At 45.6% G+C, this 18,921-nt stretch overlaps 2 protein-coding genes across 9 annotated transcripts in view, besides 6 other annotated features; one reads left to right on the top strand and one right to left on the bottom strand.

The window, feature by feature from the left end:
• The window catches only part of DGKE (diacylglycerol kinase epsilon), a 35,417-nt gene extending 33,221 nt beyond the window's left edge, over nt 1-2,196 (bottom strand). For 6 of the 8 annotated variants that reach the window (XR_002958079.2, XM_047436959.1, XM_011525394.4 and 3 more), the window contains exons 1-2: nt 1,842-2,196; nt 1,088-1,569 (exon numbers count right to left, since the gene is read on the bottom strand). Coding sequence is in view for 7 of the 8 variants with exons in the window: in XM_047436959.1 (XP_047292915.1) it covers nt 1,088-1,569; nt 1,842-1,877 (518 nt within the window). In the remaining variant the exon portion in view is untranslated. The remainder of the gene's footprint in view (nt 1-1,087; nt 1,570-1,841) is intronic. The other 2 variants (XM_017025243.3, NM_003647.3) reach the window with 1 other exon arrangement.
• Nucleotides 743-1,340: an enhancer, noted in NCBI's record as "H3K4me1 hESC enhancer chr17:54912368-54912965 (GRCh37/hg19 assembly coordinates)". NCBI's record gives its function as "activates a minimal SCP1, AML or CMV promoter by ChIP-STARR-seq in naive H9 embryonic stem cells {active_cell/tissue: H9 hESC(naive)}" and the evidence as "EXISTENCE:reporter gene assay evidence [ECO:0000049][PMID:30033119]".
• Nucleotides 743-1,471: a biological region, named in NCBI's record as "H3K4me1 hESC enhancer GRCh37_chr17:54912368-54912965".
• Nucleotides 1,072-1,471: an enhancer, noted in NCBI's record as "active region_12418". NCBI's record gives its function as "activates an Ori minimal core promoter by ATAC-STARR-seq in GM12878 lymphoblastoid cells {active_cell/tissue: GM12878}" and the evidence as "EXISTENCE:reporter gene assay evidence [ECO:0000049][PMID:35858748]".
• Nucleotides 1,862-2,931: a silencer, noted in NCBI's record as "silent region_8740". NCBI's record gives its function as "represses an Ori minimal core promoter by ATAC-STARR-seq in GM12878 lymphoblastoid cells {active_cell/tissue: GM12878}" and the evidence as "EXISTENCE:reporter gene assay evidence [ECO:0000049][PMID:35858748]".
• Nucleotides 1,940-2,537: an enhancer, noted in NCBI's record as "H3K27ac hESC enhancer chr17:54911171-54911768 (GRCh37/hg19 assembly coordinates)". NCBI's record gives its function as "activates a minimal SCP1, AML or CMV promoter by ChIP-STARR-seq in naive H9 embryonic stem cells {active_cell/tissue: H9 hESC(naive)}" and the evidence as "EXISTENCE:reporter gene assay evidence [ECO:0000049][PMID:30033119]".
• Nucleotides 2,427-18,921, top strand: part of C17orf67 (chromosome 17 open reading frame 67) — a 42,008-nt gene continuing 25,513 nt past the window's right edge. The window contains exons 1-4 of the mRNA NM_001085430.4: nt 2,427-2,729; nt 3,005-3,449; nt 11,026-11,266; nt 11,494-11,608. The gene's annotated coding sequence lies outside the window, so the exon portion shown is untranslated. The remainder of the gene's footprint in view (nt 2,730-3,004; nt 3,450-11,025; nt 11,267-11,493; nt 11,609-18,921) is intronic.
• Nucleotides 2,905-3,199: a silencer, noted in NCBI's record as "tiled region #13836; K562 Repressive non-DNase unmatched - State 1:Tss". NCBI's record gives its function as "represses a minimal TATA promoter and a strong SV40 promoter by Sharpr-MPRA in K562 cells {active_cell/tissue: K562}" and the evidence as "EXISTENCE:reporter gene assay evidence [ECO:0000049][PMID:27701403]".

Below are 18,921 nucleotides of genomic sequence, written 5' to 3'. Positions count from 1 at the left end.
TAGAATACATTATTTTGAACATTTATTCTTAAGCCTCTTTGATAATGTGTAAAATTATTTAAAATAAGACTTAAAAACAGGTATTGACATTATAATAGCGTTCATGCTAATGAAAGAATTTCTGCAAAAAAAATTAAAAAAATTAAAAAGCAGCTTCCTATTTACTGCCTATTTCATTTCTTAAGCATGTTTATGCGCCTTTCTACTTGTCAGAAATAAAACCCATTACAATGAAGATGTCCAGACTTAAGGCTCAAAGGAGGCTAAGTGTTAGTCCAGAGCTGGAAATCCTGGAGGCCAGTCCTATTTTACCAGAGTGGACCTAACGGGCTTTAATTTTCTCAACTGTGAACTGAGTTAGAATAGATCATTTGCAAAGCAGCATTCTCCTTTACCAATTTCCAACATCAGCAAAGGACATCTTCACCTATTTTCAAACAATATTTAAGGACAAAAATGTGTTGTCCAGTGTGTATATAAAAGACATTAAAATATTCTTGGCTTAATCAAGGTCACTTATCTAAGATTCTACATGTCCTGAAAGACCAAGCGTCAAAAGGAATATTCCTTTCAGTGTTCTTTTTGAGTATATTTCGCTATGGTACCAACAGCTATATTAGCAAAAGACATAAAAGTGCTGCCTTGGAATGACACTTGTTTTCACTGCACATTCATAGTACAAAACCTGTGACCCATCAGTTTTGCGGCTGAAGGGAAAAGTTAATTTGTCCATATTTCATTTTTCCTTATTTAAAATAAGGAGATAATCGATAGGAACAAAAGCTAAAATATACAGTGGCCATGAAGCAGGCACCACTTAGAAACCTCTGTATTAACGTTAGGAGCCAAGTTTTATTACCCAAAAGGGCAGGCTGGCTGAGGAGTGGAGGCTGGATGCATCGTCTCAGCAAATGACTACTGCAAAGCTGCCACGCTTGCACAAACTCAGGGATGTTTATTTATTAGCTTGTTTCCTCAAAATGAGTTTAGGTCATCAGCAGAGATTAAAGCAGGCCTCTACACCACTCTATGAAATCCTGATTCCCACGGCGCATTCTGGGACAGTGAGTGTCCACGAAGACCATACCTGTAATCGCAAAGCTTGGGTTGACAGCCACACTGCTGCTTGCAAACCATACAGTAACTGCACAGGGGCACGTTGCCCCGGATCCAGTGGTGGGGCATGGCGTCCAGGACCTTGGTGTCATTCTTGAGCATAATCTCCTTGCACTGGAAGCGCTTGTCGGCCTTCCTGAGGCAGCCCTCGTCCACGCGGAGCCCGCAGCAGTCGCAGAAGGCGCCCTGCAGAATGTGCTGCGCGCACACGCAGCAGTAGGTGGGCTGGCTGAACAGGTCCGTGTCGCGCCACCCGTGCTTGCTCTTGCGGAAGATGTCCCTGCGGTGCAGCTGCCGGCGCGACCGCTGGAGGCTACACCAGAAGGTGATGAACACCGGCAGCAGGACCGAGCACAGCGTCCACAAGATCAGGTGCCCGTCCGCAAACAGGCCCTCGGAGGGCGAGCCCGGCGCCGGCCGCCTCTCCGCTTCCATCTTCTCCAAGGACGATACCTAACCAGAAAAGAAACAGGCGGTGCACCCCGAGCTCGCCATCCCTTCCCCGCCCCCTTCCTGCCTTTCCGGGGCCAAACCGGGCGCCCTCAGTGAAGGTGGCTCCGCTCTCCCGAGGGCGGGACTGCGCCTCGTCCCCCCGTCTCCCGGGACCTGCCGCGCCGAGAAGGCGACGTCCAGCCATCACGCTCCAATCCCCACTCCCCAACCCGCCCCACCTCGGGAGCGCGTCCAGGAGCCCAAGGCGGCTGCTGCTGCCGCCGCCGCCTCACCTTGCCGCCGGTCTGACCCACGGAAGGGCGCAACATACAGGGGCAAGCTGCCCTCCACCGAAAGGCCGGGCGTTCAGGCCAGGCAACGCCGGTCGGCGCCCGTAACCGTCGGCCCAGGCCTCGCACTCCCCTCCGGGGCGCCGTCTCCTCCCGGGCCCCACCCGCTCCCACGCGCGGCCCGGCGACCCTAGCCCCTCTCGGGAGGCCTCCGGAGACCTGCGCCGCGCCGGTCCTCGAAGCCCTACCTCGCGCGGGTGGAGGCGCGGCTCCGGGCCAGCAGGCCTTGGCCGCCTCGCGCAGGAGGAGAACGACGCTGGGCCGCCAGCAGGGATGAAGCCGGGCGGGGGAAACGCTTAAGGCTCCAGCCGCACGCACGCCGATCCGGCGCGCGGGGCCGCGAGCTGGAGGCGGGGCCTGTGGCGGCGAGCCCCGTGGCTGGGCGGAGCCAGGGCTGACGGGCGGGGCGGAGGTGTGAGGTGGGAGGGGAGACGGACCGGCCTGAGGGGGCGGGGCCGTGGAGGAGGCTGGAGACGGATGGAAGAGGCAGGGCACTGCGGCTGGGGGCGGGGCCTAGGGGAAGGGGGCGGAGTAACAGTGGGGCGTTTGAGAGGATGGAGGGTTGAATGCCAAAACTTCGTAATCGTAGAAAATTCTGGAAAGCCGCCGGCGGGGCAAGGCCACGAGGATCCTCCTCGCAGCACCGCGCCGCGCGGGGCCCAGGGGCCGCGCTCACGCCCGCCGCTCGGCGCAGACACGAGTGCCCCCGACTTGAGCCGAACCTCTAGCCGATGCCGGCGCCGCCGCCGCCGGGGATGCGTAAGCCGACTGGGAAGCGAGGGGGGGAGGCGGCCTGCGCGGCACCGCCCGACCTGGCCGCGGCGGGCTGAGGTAGGTGTGGCGGCCGCAGTAACGCAAACCTGAGGGCTCCTCCGCTGCGGAGCGGCGGGCGGGCGCGGAGGCCGAGGGCGAGCGGGGCAGCCGCCCGCTCGTCGCCGCTGACCCCGAGCCCGGCCGCGGTTTCCGCCCCCTGCCGTGGCGGGCGGGCCTCCCCTGCGCTACCCCCTCGCCCGCGCCCGCCAGCGCCCGAGGCCGGGGAGAAAGGGGAGCAGCGGGAGCCGGGGACTACCGGAGATGGGAGCACGCCTCCTGCTGCTGTCGTCCAGCCCCAGGTTCCGGAGGAATGCTCGCTCCCCGCTGGAGTCCTACCAGCCCAACACGGACCTGAGCCGCGACCACGCGGGCTGCAGCCTGCAGCACATCAGCTACCCGGAGAACGCGGACGCGGAAGCACCGCTGCTCAGCACCCCCGAAGAAACACGGAATCCAGAGAGGCACAGGCACCGCCCCGGCGCGCACAGCTGCACTCAGCGGCTTCCTTCCTACTACATACATACATAGGAGTGGGAGCCGAGGACCACTTGTTGCTTGCGGACTTCCTCTAGCATAAAAGATGGAAAGAAAACACACACCGAAGCAAGGGACCAAAGGAACAGAAAAGAAACGCAGAGATCATAGGAAAACTGCAAAGAAATACTTGATAATATCTTCCAAACGATTAGAGAAGACATAACATTCATTAAGAATACACATATAGATGTATATATACGTGTATGTGTGTATGTATATATTATTATGTGTGCATATATATGCATGTGTATGTGCGTATATTTGTATTAACTGTAGAAGATAAAGCTAGACACTAGTAAAAGTGGTAAAGCAGATTTTAATAATATACTATTGTAATAGGGAAGAAGGTACCTCGTGAACGGAACTGAACTTTGTGCAGAAGTGACTAGGTGTTTAAGAGGGAGGAGGAGGGAATGTGAAGGGGATGAGCAGGAACTCAGTAGTCAGGAAAGTGAAACTTGTGAAGGGTGGGTCAGTGTAAGTAAGGTTAGGCGACAGTGCCTGTTAGATGGCTGTTATGGGAGTCAGGGTCCTATCCTCCCACAGTAACTGGGAGATAGGCCCTTTGCTTCCTGGTGATTGCATGTTGGAGGAATGGCTTTCAGGTTCTTGAGAAGGATACTCCTGATGTGTAGGAGACATTACATCCCAGAGAGACAGAGGAAGGATTCACAATTGTTTAGTTTTTTGTTGTTGTTGTTAACTCTTTAAGAAAGGGACATCAGGGGCTGCTTGTAAGGTGTTGGCAATAGCCAACAGTGAGTTCTTTTGGCAGCTTTCCCAGGAAGATACTTTAGGGGGTCTGGGGTCATCCTATGGATGCAGCTTTGAGCAGTTAAAAACTATGTGTTTAGGCCGGGCGCTGTGGCTCACGCCTGTAACCCCAACACTTTGGGAGGCCGAGGCAGGTGCATCACGGGGTCAGGAATTCAAGATCAGCCTGGTCAAGATGGTGAAACCCCGTCTCTACTAAAAATACAAAAAATTAGCTGGGCATCGTGGTGAGTGCCTGTAGTCCCAGCTACTTGGGAGGCTTGAGGCAGAGAATTGCTTAACCCAGGAGGCGGAGGTTGCAGTGAGCTGAGATCGCACCAATGTATTCCAGCCGGGGCGACAGAGCGAAACTCCGTCTCAAAAAAAAAGAAAGAAAAAGAAACTGTGTGTTTAAGCGTTTTGATATAGGGGGAAGGATGGACCCGATCCTTTTTGCTGAAGTCTGCAGATTTCATAGGCCAAGGTGGAGGCCTAGTTGAAAAGGGGGCTCAGGGAAGCCTGGCTAGAGCTTGGTCAAGGAGGGGATCTTCATCAGTCGTACGTATGTACATGGCACGTGGACCTGCATAGACACGTGTTTGGTGGAGGCTGTCTTATACGGATTCTGCACAACTCAAGTCCCCTAATGGGAACAGACTTGGGGAGGTCACTCTTGAGGCTTTTTGTGGTATTGTGGCTACTGGGAGACCTGAGGAGGGTTCTGGTCACTAGCAGACTCATTTCATTCACCCCTTGGAATCTGCCCAGGACTTGGACTTCTGTGTAATAGTAACTTCACGCCCCAATGATCCTCCACGTTCCTTGCTGATGCTGTGATTGCTCCTCCAAGTTCTCCACCTATGTCCATCTGAGCACTTGGTATTTCTACTCTAGTGTCAAAAGGTCCTGTTCCCAAGTCTCCTCCCAAACATTTATTCCAATTTATCATCCAGATGCCCGTCCTTTGCCATCCCTCTCTGTTCCAGCAAAGGACACCACCCCTCAGGGAGATGCTCACAGTGGACTCCTTGTCCTCATCCTGACTCCCCTTTTCTCTGGCACCCGCAGGCCTCAGTGAGTCTCTCGGTCTCTGGCAGCAGCACAGGTCCTGGACTCGAGCCCATCTCTCCATCCCCCCCTCCACTACTCCCCTGGTCCAGCTGTCACCATTCTCACCCTTGAATGACTGTCACAGCCTCCCACCTGGTCTTCCTGCTTTACTATGTTCCCTGCAGGCTGCCTCTGAACTTTTATATTGAAATGAAACTCTTACTGTGGGGAAAACCCCTCCATTCTCAGACCCCTGGTACCCTTCACTCATTTACCACTCTGGCCATCGTTCACTGAGTTCAGGCCACTCTGGCCTCTGCATGGTCCTCACGCCCACCAGACTCATGCCCCCTTCAGGGCTATTGTCAGTTCTACCCCCTTTTCCTACAAAGTTCTTCCCTATGTCTTCGTTGCCCAGGTGCTCCCTCCCGACAGAGGCCTTGCTGACCACCCCTACCAAGATTGCCCCACATTTATGTAAATCCAGTCTGTTTAACTATTAGGGTGAGTGACCTCCATTCATACTTGATAAATAATTTACAGTTATCTAAATACAGTGCCTGACTCAACATAAAGACACAGAGGAAGTTTAAATGGAAAGTTTAATTCAGGTTACTTTTGTCAGGTATCTCTCTTACATACCAAAATAAAAATGTATAAATACAAAAAAAAAATTAGCCAGGCGTGGTGGCTAATTGAGAGGAGATGGGGAAAAGTGATGTGGGGTTCCCCAATGTTGTCCAAGGGGATTTCTTCTTAGAAATCTCTCCCTACATCACTCTTGTAGTGAAATAAAACCATCTCCATGTAATTTATTAATTTTGTTTTTTGAAAAATATCCACTATTTGAATCTAAATATTATAGAAATTTCTCTTTAAACATTCCCTTTTACTTTATCCCAAAATAAATCTCCCTTTGCATAAATTTTTTCTTTTTCTTTTTTTTTTTTTGAGACGGAGTCTCGCTCTGTCACCCAGACTGGAGTGCAGTGGTGCGATCTTGGCTCACTGCAAGCTCCGCCTCCCAGGTTCACGCCATTCTCTTGCCTCAGCCTCCCGAGTAGCTGGGACTACAGGTGCCCGCCACCACGCCCGGCTAATTTTTTTTGTGTTTTTAGTGGAGACGGGATTTCACCATGTTAGCGAGGATGGTCCTGATCTCCTGACCTCATGATCCGCCTGCCTCAGCCTCCCAAAGTGCTGGGATTACAGGTGTGAGCCACCACGCCCGGCCAAATTTTTCAACAAATACATACTCAAGCCAAAAAATGGTGCTTTAACTTATGACTTAAAATTGTTGGGACTATAACTCTAGAAAAAATATTGCAGTTGAGTACCGAAAGTATTGATAAATGAAATCTGTTTTCAAAGTGCAATAATTTTGTAGAGGATAAAATAGAAATTGTTCACCTAGGAGATTAATACATAAATAATATTTACAGAGCATTGTCTTGAGAAATGCAGTTTGATGATGTTTCAGTTTGAGCAAAAGATGAGGCTCTAAAGTATGGCATTTCTTTTGCTGCTAATGAGAGAGAATCCAGACTTTGCTGATGTGCTCCAGGGTCTCCTGTATTCTTTAGATTTGGAGGAATCAACCATGAAGGAGCTGGCTGCAGTGTCAGAAGGGGAAGGTGGAAACTTCAACACAAAAAGGGGCTCCCCTAGATCCACTGGCCTCAGGGACCCTCGGATGGAGTCAACATGGGAGAACCTGGCCTGGCAGCTCTGGAGGCCTGAGTGGAGGGGAGAGAACAGCGCTGCCCTAAGACCCAAGCCCTCCTGGGGAAGGGAGCAGCAGGGCTTGGCTCTTGGCTGCCTGGCTGGTGTGGAAAAGCTCCTTGTGATGGGGTGACTCCCATGGCCTCTTCCAGGGACTCCAGCATAGATAACGTCTCTGCCAGCCCTTCTTGTTGCTTAGAGAGTCTGGATCTCTCTTCTTTTTTCTTTTCTTCTTTAAACCTCTCTTCTTTGAGTTCTTGAACCAGGGATGTGATTTTTATTTTATTTTATTTTTTTGCAATGGAGTCTTGCTCTTGTTGCCCAGGCTGGAGTGTAATGGTGCGATCTCAGCTCACTGCAATCTCCACCTCCCAGGTTCAAGCAATTCTCCTGCTCCAGCCTGCTGAGTAGCTGGGATTACAGGCGCCCGCCACCATGCCTGGCTAATTTTTGTATTGTTAGTAGAGATGGGTTTCACTGCTGGCCAGGCTGGTCTTGAACTCCTGACTCAGGTGATCTGTCCACCTCGGCCTCCCAAAGTGTTGAAATTACAGGTGTGAGCAGCTGTGCCCCGCTGGGATGTGAATTTCTGCATCAGCATTGCGTTGGTGCTGTTCACCTTATAAGCATCTACAAAACTGGGGATGTTTAAATACTTTTTCATACACCGACATCCTCTAAGGATCCCTCAATCTCTGCAGTGTTTTTTTTTTTTTTTTTGTCATCACTGTGCTTGCCTGTGAGTTGGCATTTCTCCTCCATGTGTGAATCCAGTGTTTCTGCAAGCTGCTTTTCGTATGTTACATGGAGTCGATTCCTAACAGGTTGACTAAGGAAATGAAAGCCACGAAAGTTAGGATAGTAGTTCCCTGTGATGGGGGAGAAGGTGTACCAAACAACTGGGCACACCAGAGCTCCCAATCTTCAATATGTTAACCTGGGTAGTGGGTACACAGGTGTTTGTTTAATTTTTATGTTAGAAACTATGTATATATGGTTTATAAACTCTTCTGTATGTGTGACAGATTTCAAAATATAAACAACATCAAAAAAGTTTTGAATAAAGAATTACCTAGGGAACTTGTTAAGAAGGCGGATTCCTAGTTGCATTTCATATTCTGATTCCAGAGACCTGGTCAGGACCACAGAATCCACATTTTTTTTTTTGAGACAAGAGTTTTGCTCTTGTTGCCCAGGCTGGAGTGCAATGGTGTGATCCCGGCTCACCACAACCTCCGCCTCCTGGGTTCAAGCGATTCTCCTACCTCAGCCTCCCGAGTAGCTGGGATTACACGCATGCGCCACCACGTCCAGCTAATTTTGTATTTTTAGCAGAGATGGGATTTCTCCATGTTGGTCAGGCTGGTCTAGAACTCCCAACCTCAGATGATCCACCCACCCTGTCCTCCCAAAGTGCTGGGATTACAAGCGTGAGCCGCCGTGCCTGGCTTTTTTTTTTTTTTTTTGAGACTGAGTCTTGTTCTGTCGCCAGGCTGGAGTGCGGGTACACTGAGCTAATTTTTGTATTTTTAGTAGAGATGGGGTTTCACCATATTGGCTGGGATGATCTCGAACTCCTGATCTCGCGATCCGCCTGCCTTGGCCTCCCAAAGTGCTGGGATTACAGGTGTGAGCCACTGCGACCGGCCCAGCATCCACATTTTTAAATGATGCTAATGGAGGCGGTTCGAAAACCACAGTCTGAGGTGTGTTAAATACTCCATGCCCACGTTACACGGAGTCCATTCCTAATACATTGACTAAGTCTGAATAAAACTAAGACCCATCACTAAGCCCGTGAGGTGTGGACACACCAGTGTCTTCCCATGGAGGCTGTGGAAAGTGACTTGAGGACTTGGGTCATGGGGCGGCAGCCCCACCATCTCCTCATCCAGCTTCCCAGGGTTCAGTCCAGGGTCCACCTCCACAGAGGATCGCAGCCCCTCCATGACACTGCAGTCCCACACGGCCAATAGTGGGACTGAGATCACTGTTTTAACTTGGTCAATCAAGTCAGCTTCAACTGAAATTAAACCATTAAAGATACTCTGCTACTTCTCTGAGAACCTTGCCCTGGGAATCTTGTTAAAATGCAGATTCTGATTTCCTTTCTCAGGGAAGAGGCCTGATAACCTGCATTTCTAAGAAGCTCCAAGGTGCTGCCACAGGGCTCTGCCTAGTAACCATGGATTCCACAGCCACAACAGACACCAGAGAACACCCCACCATTCTGCCTGTACTCAATCAGCAGTGGGCATCCTGGATTGGTTAATTTTATGATCACTTAGAGGGAGAAATTTGTAAATAAAATCTACTTGTCTCAAAAAAAATTCTGGTAGGAATGATTTACAGTATGAGTTAAGCTTATCTATGACCTTCAGCCTCCGCACTTTCTCACCATCTGGTGAGAGCTGGCACAGTTTTGAATGTTGGGATGCAGAAAACTGGCAGTTTTGAGAATGTTATATACTAAAGAATGGGACAGTTCAAGTCAAAAATTGATAAATGATAACCTATGCTCTTGTTGGTTATTTATTAAACACGTACTGGCTGAGCACTTAACTATGTGCCAAGCATTGCACAGCTTGTGCAGAGCGCCAGGCCTGTCAAAACATAACCAACAAGAAGCATTATTTACAGGCACTGTTTACAGGTACTGCACCCTGCTTCCATCTCTGCACTTGCTATGCACCATGTAGGTTTATGATCCCCATTTTACAGATGAAAAAACCCAGGCACAGAGAGGTTGAGAAACATGCTTCATGTCACACAGCCAATGGTGGGACTGAGATCACTGTTTTAACTTGGTCAACTAAGTCAGCTTCAACTGAAATTAAACCATTAAAGAAAGACTTTCTCTTATTCTGCTACTTCTCTGAGAACCTTGCCCTGGGAATCTTGTTAAAATGCAGATTCTGATTTCCTTTCTCAGGGAAGAGGCCTGATAACCTGCGTTTCTAAGAAGCTCCAAGGTGCTGCTGCTAGTTCCAGGACCACACTTTTGAGTTTGGAGGCTGAAGTATTTAACAGTCTGTATTGTGAAAACGCAGGGGCAGTGTAATGAAGTGGGAGGAGTGTTAGATGGGATTGTGAGGCCTGGGAAGAGAACCTGGACCTCAGACATCTGTGTCCCCTTGTGCTTGTCAGTTCACCTCCTTGGGCTCAGGTTAGATGAGATCTCTAAAGCATAACTTCTGCTTCAGTAGCCTGCACAGTGTGTGAAAGTGTCATTGTCTTTTATGAATCCTAGCTGATGCAGAACGCTTAAATTAGTTTAGATTTGAAGATATAACAAAATAATACACTTTTAAAAAGTGACAGACTGGGCATGGTGGCTCACACCTGTAATCCCAGCACTTTGGGAGACTAAGGCAGGTGGATCCCTTGAGGCCAGGAGTTGAAGACAAGCCTGGCCAACATGGTGAAACCCCATCTCTACTAAAAATAAAAAATTAGCTGGGTGTGGTGGTGCGTGCCTGTAATCCCAGCTACTCGGGAGCCTGAGGCAGGAGAATCACATGAGTTCAGGAGGTGGAGGTTGCAGTGAGCCGAGATTGTGCCACTGCACTCCAGCCTGGGTGACAGAGCGAGACTCCGTCACACACACGCGTGCACACACACACACACACTCACAGGTTTCCCCCAATCCCCATTATAGAGTATTTGAAAAAGTAAAAAGGAAGAAAAGAATCACCATCTCTCACTCCAAAGACACCCTGTGTTTGAACATTTTGGTCTATTCCATTATTTTCTATGGAAACTGATTTACTTTTTTTTAATGCATACTTTTGATGATGTGGTAGATAATAGTGTCTATCTGGCTCTTATTTAGCATTACAAAATAACTTTTATATGTTATTAAAAAGTCCTATTTAATGGCTACATTATACTCCATTCTATGAATATAGCTTACAGTGTGTATAACCTTACTTTTGTTGTAGCTATTTCTAATATTTTGCTATTATAAATAATTCCTTTGTTTAGGGTTATTTCCTTAGATTCTCAGATTTAGTTAAAGAATTTGAAAAGTTTAAGGCTTATGGGAAAGCTTTTAAGAATAGTAGTCTCTCTTTGCTAAGTAAATTTTTATCTGGAAAATTTACCTGTGTAGGGACAGATTAATAGAAATTGCCACACCTGAGGAGATACACTCTTAATTCACTAAAAGTAATAATAATATTTGTGGCCAACATGTGTTGATGAGTTAGTAGGTCCTAGGCACTGTGTTAAGTTTATCATCCTTATTTTACAGATGAAGAAAACCTGCTTGATATCACACAGTCAGGAGTCAACTGAGTTGGGGCTTTGAACTTAGGTTTATCTGATGCCAAAGTTTGTGATGCTCTTCAACCATTTAGGGTACCGCAGAGTGTGGATTTTGAATCACCTGCATCAGCATCATTTTAAAATATAGATTCTGTGGTCCTGACCAGGTCTCTGAAGTCAGAATATGAAGTGGAGCTAGGAATCTAACTTCTTAACAAGTTCCCTAGGTAATTCTTTATTCAAACTTTTTTTGTTTATATTTTGAAATGTGTCACACATGCAGAAGAGTTTATAAAACACATATACGGTTTTAAAAATAATAGTAAAAACCTGGTTAACATATTGAAGATTTGAGAGCTCTTGTGTGCTCACTTGTTTGATACACCTTCTCCCCCATCAGAAGGAACTACTATCGTAACTTTTGTGGCCTTCATTTCTTTGCTTTTCTTTATAGATGCCTAAGGGTATCCCTGAATGATACAGTTTTGTTTGAAAGACTGAAAAGCCCAAAGCTGGCCCTTTTGGGAAATAGCAGTAAATCATTGATATGTGAAGGTTCCCAGCAGGAGGTAAGTTGAGCAATGTCTTTGGGACAGAGTCTGGATTCAGTTTCTTTGAGAAGATTCCACCTGGGGAAGTCAGTGGGCAAGGTCTTGGGAAGATTGTTAATCACAGTGAGGGCATCTGAGCAGGGCTGTGGTTTGAACAGCTGGCAAAAATATGGCTGAAGAGGAAGGAGGCTGCTTTTAATCTTTGCAGCTCAGCTCAGGGAGACATGAGTATCTTTAGCTAATCCATGCAATGGGGTGTGGGAATGGGGACATGGGAGAATGGGGAGCCCATCAGCTCCTGGTTCTTGTCTTAATCTGTTTTCTGTTGCTATAGCAGAATACCTGAGACTTGGAAATTTAGAAAGAAAAATGGTTCATCTGGCTCATAGCTCTGGAGGCTGGGAAGTCTAAGGGCATGGTGGCAGCCTCTGGTGAGGGCTTTTGCTCTGTGTCATAACATGAACAAAAAGCTGAAGGGCAAGCCAGTGTGTGCAAAAGAGACCACAAGAGTGATCCAGGCTCAATTTTATAACAACCCGCTTTCAGGAGAACTAACTCACTCCTATAAGAACTAATTTACTCCCAAGAGAACAAACTCACTCCCCAAATAACAGTCTTATCCATTCAGGAGGGTGGTGCTCCCGTGACTTAATCAACTCTTAAAGGCCCCACCTCCCAACACCATCAGTGGCAATAAAATTTCAACATGAGTTTTGGCAGGGGCACTCCAATCATAGCAGTCATTAAGATAAAGTACAAATAAGCTTTTGTATCAGGCTCAACAGGCAGCCTGTCCTTAGACTGACTTCTTTCATTGAGTAATATGCATTTAAGTTTTCTCCATATCTTTTCATGGCCTGATAGCTCATTTTTTTTTAGTGCTGAATAATATTCCATTGTCTGGATGTGCCACAGTTTATTTATCCATTCACCTCCAGAAGAACATCTTGGTTGCTTCCAAGTTTTGCCAGCTATGAATAAAACTGTTATAAACATCTGTGTGCAGGTTTTTGTGTGGACATGAGTTTTCAACTCATTTAGGTAAATGTCCTGTCTTTTAAAAATATGTTTTTCTCTCTTGTTTTTTTAAAACTTTCCTCCTCATTTTTGCTCTATTTTTCTAAAAGATTTCCTTAGCTTTTTTCTTGACTCAACTGAGTTTTAAATTTCTGCTATTATGGTTTTTCATTTCTAAGAAGTATTTTGGTTAATTTGTTTTCTGAACATTCCTTTTTTACAGCATCTTGTTCATGTTCCACACAAGCAAAACTTTGGTCTCTTAGAGGATATTAATGTTATTTATTTATTTTCTCCAATTGCATGGTGTCTGATTTCCCCAAGTTGCTTTTTCTTTTATCTTTTTTGTCTTTACTTTTCATGTCAGAGGCGTTCTAGATGTCTGTTGAACCTCAGGTGATTCTAATGCACCTAATGGCCTGAGAAGCAGTGCTAGAGAGTCTCCTAACCTCTCCGAAGCTTAATCATCCCAACAGAGATCCCACCAAGAAAAGTGACACAGTTCAGTATTTTTCCCCAGAACTAGAGCTTTTCTCTTCCAATTAGAGGCCTAGCACTTTTCCTGAATGTAATGTCGTATGACAGTAGCCTTAGAAGTGGTTTCATAAATTATTTTGTGCATGGTTCACTCCCCTAGTATGTTTATTCATACCCATCTTACGTGATTCTGCCTGTGCCAATGCTCCTTTGTCCCTGTTTAAGTTGGAGAGAAGCCTGACACTGGCCATCAGGAACATGATGCTGACCTTGGCTGTCCTCACCTGCTGGGCAGACATAGTTGAGGCCAACATCCTGGACCCAGAGTAGAAATTAGAGTCCACTTGTGGAGGCGTGCAGCAGGCCGGAAAGGCCCCTGTCCAAGGCCAAAACATCTTACCATTGTATTGCTGCTGCAGACAGGAAGGGGTGTATGCCTGTAGAAGTGCTGAGGATATGTAAAGGGAAGCCAGGGCCTGCGGTGTTGACACGGGGCAAGTCAACTCACATTAGAAATGAACCATATTTTCTTTTCTAATATATATATTTCAACAATAAAGTTGTGTGTCTTAATACGTGTGATTAATCTATCTTTAGTCATTCAAAACATTTTTACAAAATAGAGTGCATATGCAAAGAGATTTGGCATAGAGAAGGAGGAGAAATAATAACAATGATCTCCAAGTAGTAGACTTTTATTATGTGTCACGAACTTTACACATACCTCTTTTAAATATTAACCTTATGAGGTGAATTTTATTATAATTCTTTTTTTTTATAAGTGAGAAAACAGTGATTTGGAAAGTTAAGAAATTTCCCCAATGTCACTCAGCTCCAACGTAACACAGGCAATAAGTTTGAGAATCAGCATTCAAGGCCAGGTCTGTTGATGACTCTGCTGCCCACAGTCATAACCATTATACCACACTGCCTACACAGTAGAAACTCAGTCACTTTTGAATGAATGTTCTGGCAGGAGCCTATTATTAACTTAGATGCAATAGCACCCAGATTTGGACACACTAACCATCCCATTAGAATCCTCTGTATCAGTTAGCTATTGTCAGAGTAATGCTATGAAACAAACCACTCCTAGTCTTAGTGGCTTAAAATAACTGTCATTTATTCTGAGGGATCTGCAGGTGATGTGGCTCTGCTTCAGGCTGTGGTAGCTGGAAGTCAGCTGAAATAGACCGGGCTGGGTTGAGTGGGTCTCTTTTAAGCTACAGATCTGCATAAACTTGGCTCCTTTCTTAGCTACTTTGCATGTAAGCTAATTCTGAGACTCAGCTTGAAGGGGCAGTAGCCAACGGGGGGAAGGTCTTTTTGTAGCAATGACAGACATGTCAGAGGGCACACTTAACTGCACAAACCATTTCACACCCTTGTTAGTGTCATGTCTGCCACCATCCCACTGCCCAAAACAAGTCATCTGGTTGAGTCCAAAGTCAAGACATGGGGCTGCAAAGTCATGTGGCAGAGAGCATAAATTTGGGGTGGTAGTGAAGAATTGATGCTAATAATTCAACCTACCACACCTGCCCAGACCTAACATATGTCTGCACAGTATGCCTGTAAATAAATGTTTACAGGGAAGCAAAGTGACGAGGTCTAACATATTTCCTATGTCTATTTCATGAAGATCATCATTGCTGCTGCATAGAGAATAGATTGAAGGAACAGGGAGGGAAGCTGAGATGCCAGCTGGGAGCCTGGTGCTGGGTGAGAGATAACAGTGGCCTAGATGTGGGTGGTGACAATAGAGATGGAAGGATCTAGACCCATAAGCACCACACACAGCTTATGGAGTTACTATCATTGCTTTAAAGTTACTATCATTATTTTAAAAAATACTGTAGTCTAGTCTACCAACTATACTATAAATTCCATATTTTTACAATGTATATATAATTCTTTACAATGTACATGTGAGGTAGACAGTAAAAAAGATGAAAGCAAATATGGAGAGGACTGTTAGAATTTATTTAATTTACCCTGGGCCTAAAAAATGTCGACACATTATAATTCTCTTGATGGGGACAGATTTGGCATTTTTCTATACTTAAAAAAATGTTCCTTTGGGAGGCCAAGGGGGTAGGATTACTTGAGCCCAGGAGTTTAAGAGCAGCCTGGACAACATAGCAAGACCCTGTTTCTAAAATAAATAAATAAATAAATAAAAATAATTAGCTGGGCATGGTAGTGCACGCCTGTGGTTCCAGCTATTTGAGAAGCTGAGGCAGGAGGATCATTGGAACCCAGGAGGGTGAGGCTGCAGTGAGCTATGCTTGTGCCACTGCACTCCAGCCTGGGCGACAGAGCAAGACCCTCTCTCAAAAAACAAAAACAAAACGAAGTTCTCTTGTCTCTAAAGTTTCTATAGTTCAGTGTGATGACATTTAGAACTCTAGAATGTTGGGTTTGTCATTTGTCAATGACACTTAAATATCTGTGTAATGGGACAGTTCCTTCCAAAAAAAAAAAAAAAAAAAAAAGGGAAACTCACCCAAACAAAAAGTTGTGTTTGGGTGTTGTGAATATGGGTGGTAGCATTATTCCTTTATAGGCTTTTAAATGTTATCAAATAGTTAACACAACAGGTCCTCAAATAACATTGTTTCCTTCAACGTTGTTTCATTACAATGTTGATGAGAAAAAAAATTGATTCCAGCCCCGGGCCACTGTCTGTGTGGAGTTTGCATGTTCTTTCCATGTCTGCGTGGGTTTTCTCTGGGTACTTCGGTTTCTTCCCACATCCTAAAGCTGTGCACGTTATGTTCATTGGTGTGTCTGAATTGTCCCCGCGTGAGTGTGTGTGGGTGGGTGTGTGAGAGTGTGCCCTGCGATGGAATGGTGTCTTCTCCAGGGCTGGTTTCTGCCTGGTGCCCTGAGCTGCTGGGACACGCTCCAGCCACCACGGCCCTGAACTAGAATAAGTGGGTAAATATTAATAACTATCTTACTTGTTTTTATTAATCTTTCTTAAATACATGTATAGCCTTCAACGTTTGATATTAGAAATGTTTTGGGTCCTTATTTAGAAGTTTGGTGATGTTTTGTGACCAGAAATATGCCATAGGAACTCACCTCTTGTGTATATCAATTAGCTTATGGTAAAATTGGTTCATTCTGGACCATTTGGCTTAAAGTCTCAGTTTCCAAGAATTTATCAGCAATAATGTTATGAGGACTTACTGTACCGCTTTCCTAGGCCACAACATCTGATGAATGCCTTCAATAGTACATCAATTAAAATAAAAGTACGGAAATAGTTTTAGGTGCAGCAGCACCCTCTCTCTCCACCTCCAGTAGATTCTCTGGAATCGCTGGCAACTTCTTGAATAATTAACCTTAGTGGCCTTGAGCTCTTTCCCCTGATCTTAGTTGTCCCTGGTTCCACCTTCTGCTCTGCCACCTTGTGGATTTATTGGGAATTGCGTCTTCTACTGGGAGCCTTGCCGACTCACCTCGTTACCCCGCTGGGGCTTTTCCTGAGAACCGGGATGGGGTTTAGAAGAGAATTCTCACCGCCTGAGTGACACTCACAATAAGACACTTTGCTCTTTCGGTCTTTCTATATTCCTCCCCCTCTCGCTTCTTTTAGGACAACATCCAGAGGCCAAGCTGAAGGGCATTTGATGGCCCTGCCAGTATCACACCTGAACGGCCCTCCCCACCCGAGACTTGCAGCAGCCTCCCAGGGTGTGATACAGGCTCCGACTCTCTCCAGTCTCACCACCTCAGTCCACCAGAGGTTGCCTTATGCTTTAAAAAATTATAAAAATAATACAAGCTTGCTTAAAGCTTACCAGTGAAGGAGACAGATTTTTAAAAAGTAAATAAATGCAATACGTATAAATTATGGTGAGTGCTGTGAGATGGAGAGTGGTGGTGGTGGGGGCAGGGAACTTTTTATTAAGAAGGCTGGTAAGGGCAGGCTTTCCTGAGTAGGAGAAATTTCAAATTGAAACCTGAAGGATGAGATAGATCCAGTCATTAAAAGAGGGAGAAAAAGCACATGCAAAGGTCCTGAGGCGGGAGTGGGCTTGTTAAGCTGAAAGTGAGTGAGTGTGGCCAGATGGCAGTGAGCAGGAGGGGAGTGGTTGGAGTAAGGTTGGAAAGGGCAGTAGGCACAAAAAACACAGGGTCCTGTTGTGCTTGGTAGGGATTTTAATTTTATTCTGACTCTCATGGGAAGATGAGGAAAGATCTTATGCATGGAAGTGATGAGGTCTAACTGATACTTTCTATTTCATCCTTGCTGCTACCTGGAGAACAGATTGAAGTGAACAGGGAGGGAAACTAGAATCCCATTTGGGAGCCTGGTGCCAGAAGCTGGGTGAGGGAAACAATGGCCTAGACTTGGGTGGTGGCATTAGAGACGGAAGGATCTAGATCCATGTTGTCTAATATGGTAGCACTAGCCACATGTGGCTACCGAGCACTTGAAATGTATAAGTGTAAAATCTACACCAGATCTTGAAGGTTTAGTACAAAAAAAGGCATAAAATCTCTCATTGACAACTTGTTTATATTGATTATGTGTTAAAATAATAATATTTTGGATATTTCATCATGTTAAAATATAATATTAAAATATTTAACCTTTTTACTTAAAAAAAGTGGCTACTGAAAAAATTTAAATTACATATGTTGTTTGCATCTGTGGCTTTATGTTTTTATCGGACAGTGCTGATATAGACAAAAGTTGCAAAATTTAAAAAAATATTTTTTTTTGGAGACAGGGTCTTGTTCTGTTGTCCAGACTTGAGTGTAGTGGCATAATCATTGCTCACTGCAGGCTTGAACTCCCGGGCTCAAGTGATCCTCTGACCTTGGAATCCCAAAGTGTTAAGATTATAGGTGTGAGCTACTATGTCTGGCCAAAAAATACTTCTATTGTAAATTTACATTGGACACATTAGAAATTTATAGCTAAGTATAGATTTTGTTTCTGGCCCACAGAAGATATTTATTTGATATGATAAAACAAAATAGTGTTCTATCCAACCACAAAGAGTAAAAGGAGTGAAAAATTTGAATATACACATACAAAACTCAAGCTGTTTAACGTGACAATTTTTCTTTTTTCTTTTTTTTTTTTTTAAATAATGCTACTAGCTGCACGTGTTGGCTCACATCTGTAATTCAAGCATTTTTGGAGGCCAAGGTAGGAGAATTGCTTGAGCTCAAGAGTTTGAGACCAGCCTGGGCAATATGGCAAAACCCATTTCTACAAAAATATACAAAAATTAGCTGGGCATGGTGGCACATGCGTGTAGTCCCAGCTACTAGTGAGGCTGAGGTAGGAAGATCACTTAAGCCTGGGAGGTTGAGGCTGTACTGAGCCAAGTTCGTGCACTCCAGCCTAGGTGACAGAGGGAGACCATGTTTCAAAAAAAAAAATGCTCTAAAATTCCTTAGTTATTGAAAATTATGTGAAAACAGAAGGATGTTAATAGCAGCAGAGTGCATGAAATCAAATATTGAATTTTGAGCAAATGGGCCAGGTGCAGTAATTCTTTCTTGCCTGTAATTCCAGCACTTTGGGAGGCTGAAGCAGGAGGATCACTTGAGCCTGCGAGTTTGAGACCAGCCTGGCTAACATAGTGAGCCCCTATCTCTGCAAGGAAGAAAAAAAATCAGCTGGGCATGGAGATGCACACTTGTAGTCCCAGATACTCAGGAGGCTGAGATGGGAGATCATGAGCTCAGGAGGTTGAGGCTGTAGTGGGCTGTGATTGCACCACTGCACTTCTGCCTGGGCAACAGAATGAGACCCTGTCTCAAAAAAAAAATTTACTTATATATATATATATTTGAGCAAATGAACATGT

This window comes from Homo sapiens, chromosome 17, assembly GCF_000001405.40.
Source record: "Homo sapiens chromosome 17, GRCh38.p14 Primary Assembly".
Lineage (NCBI taxonomy): Eukaryota > Metazoa > Chordata > Mammalia > Primates > Hominidae > Homo > Homo sapiens.
The sequence above is the reverse complement of the archived record's forward strand: the minus strand, read 5'-3'. Positions and strand labels throughout refer to the sequence as shown.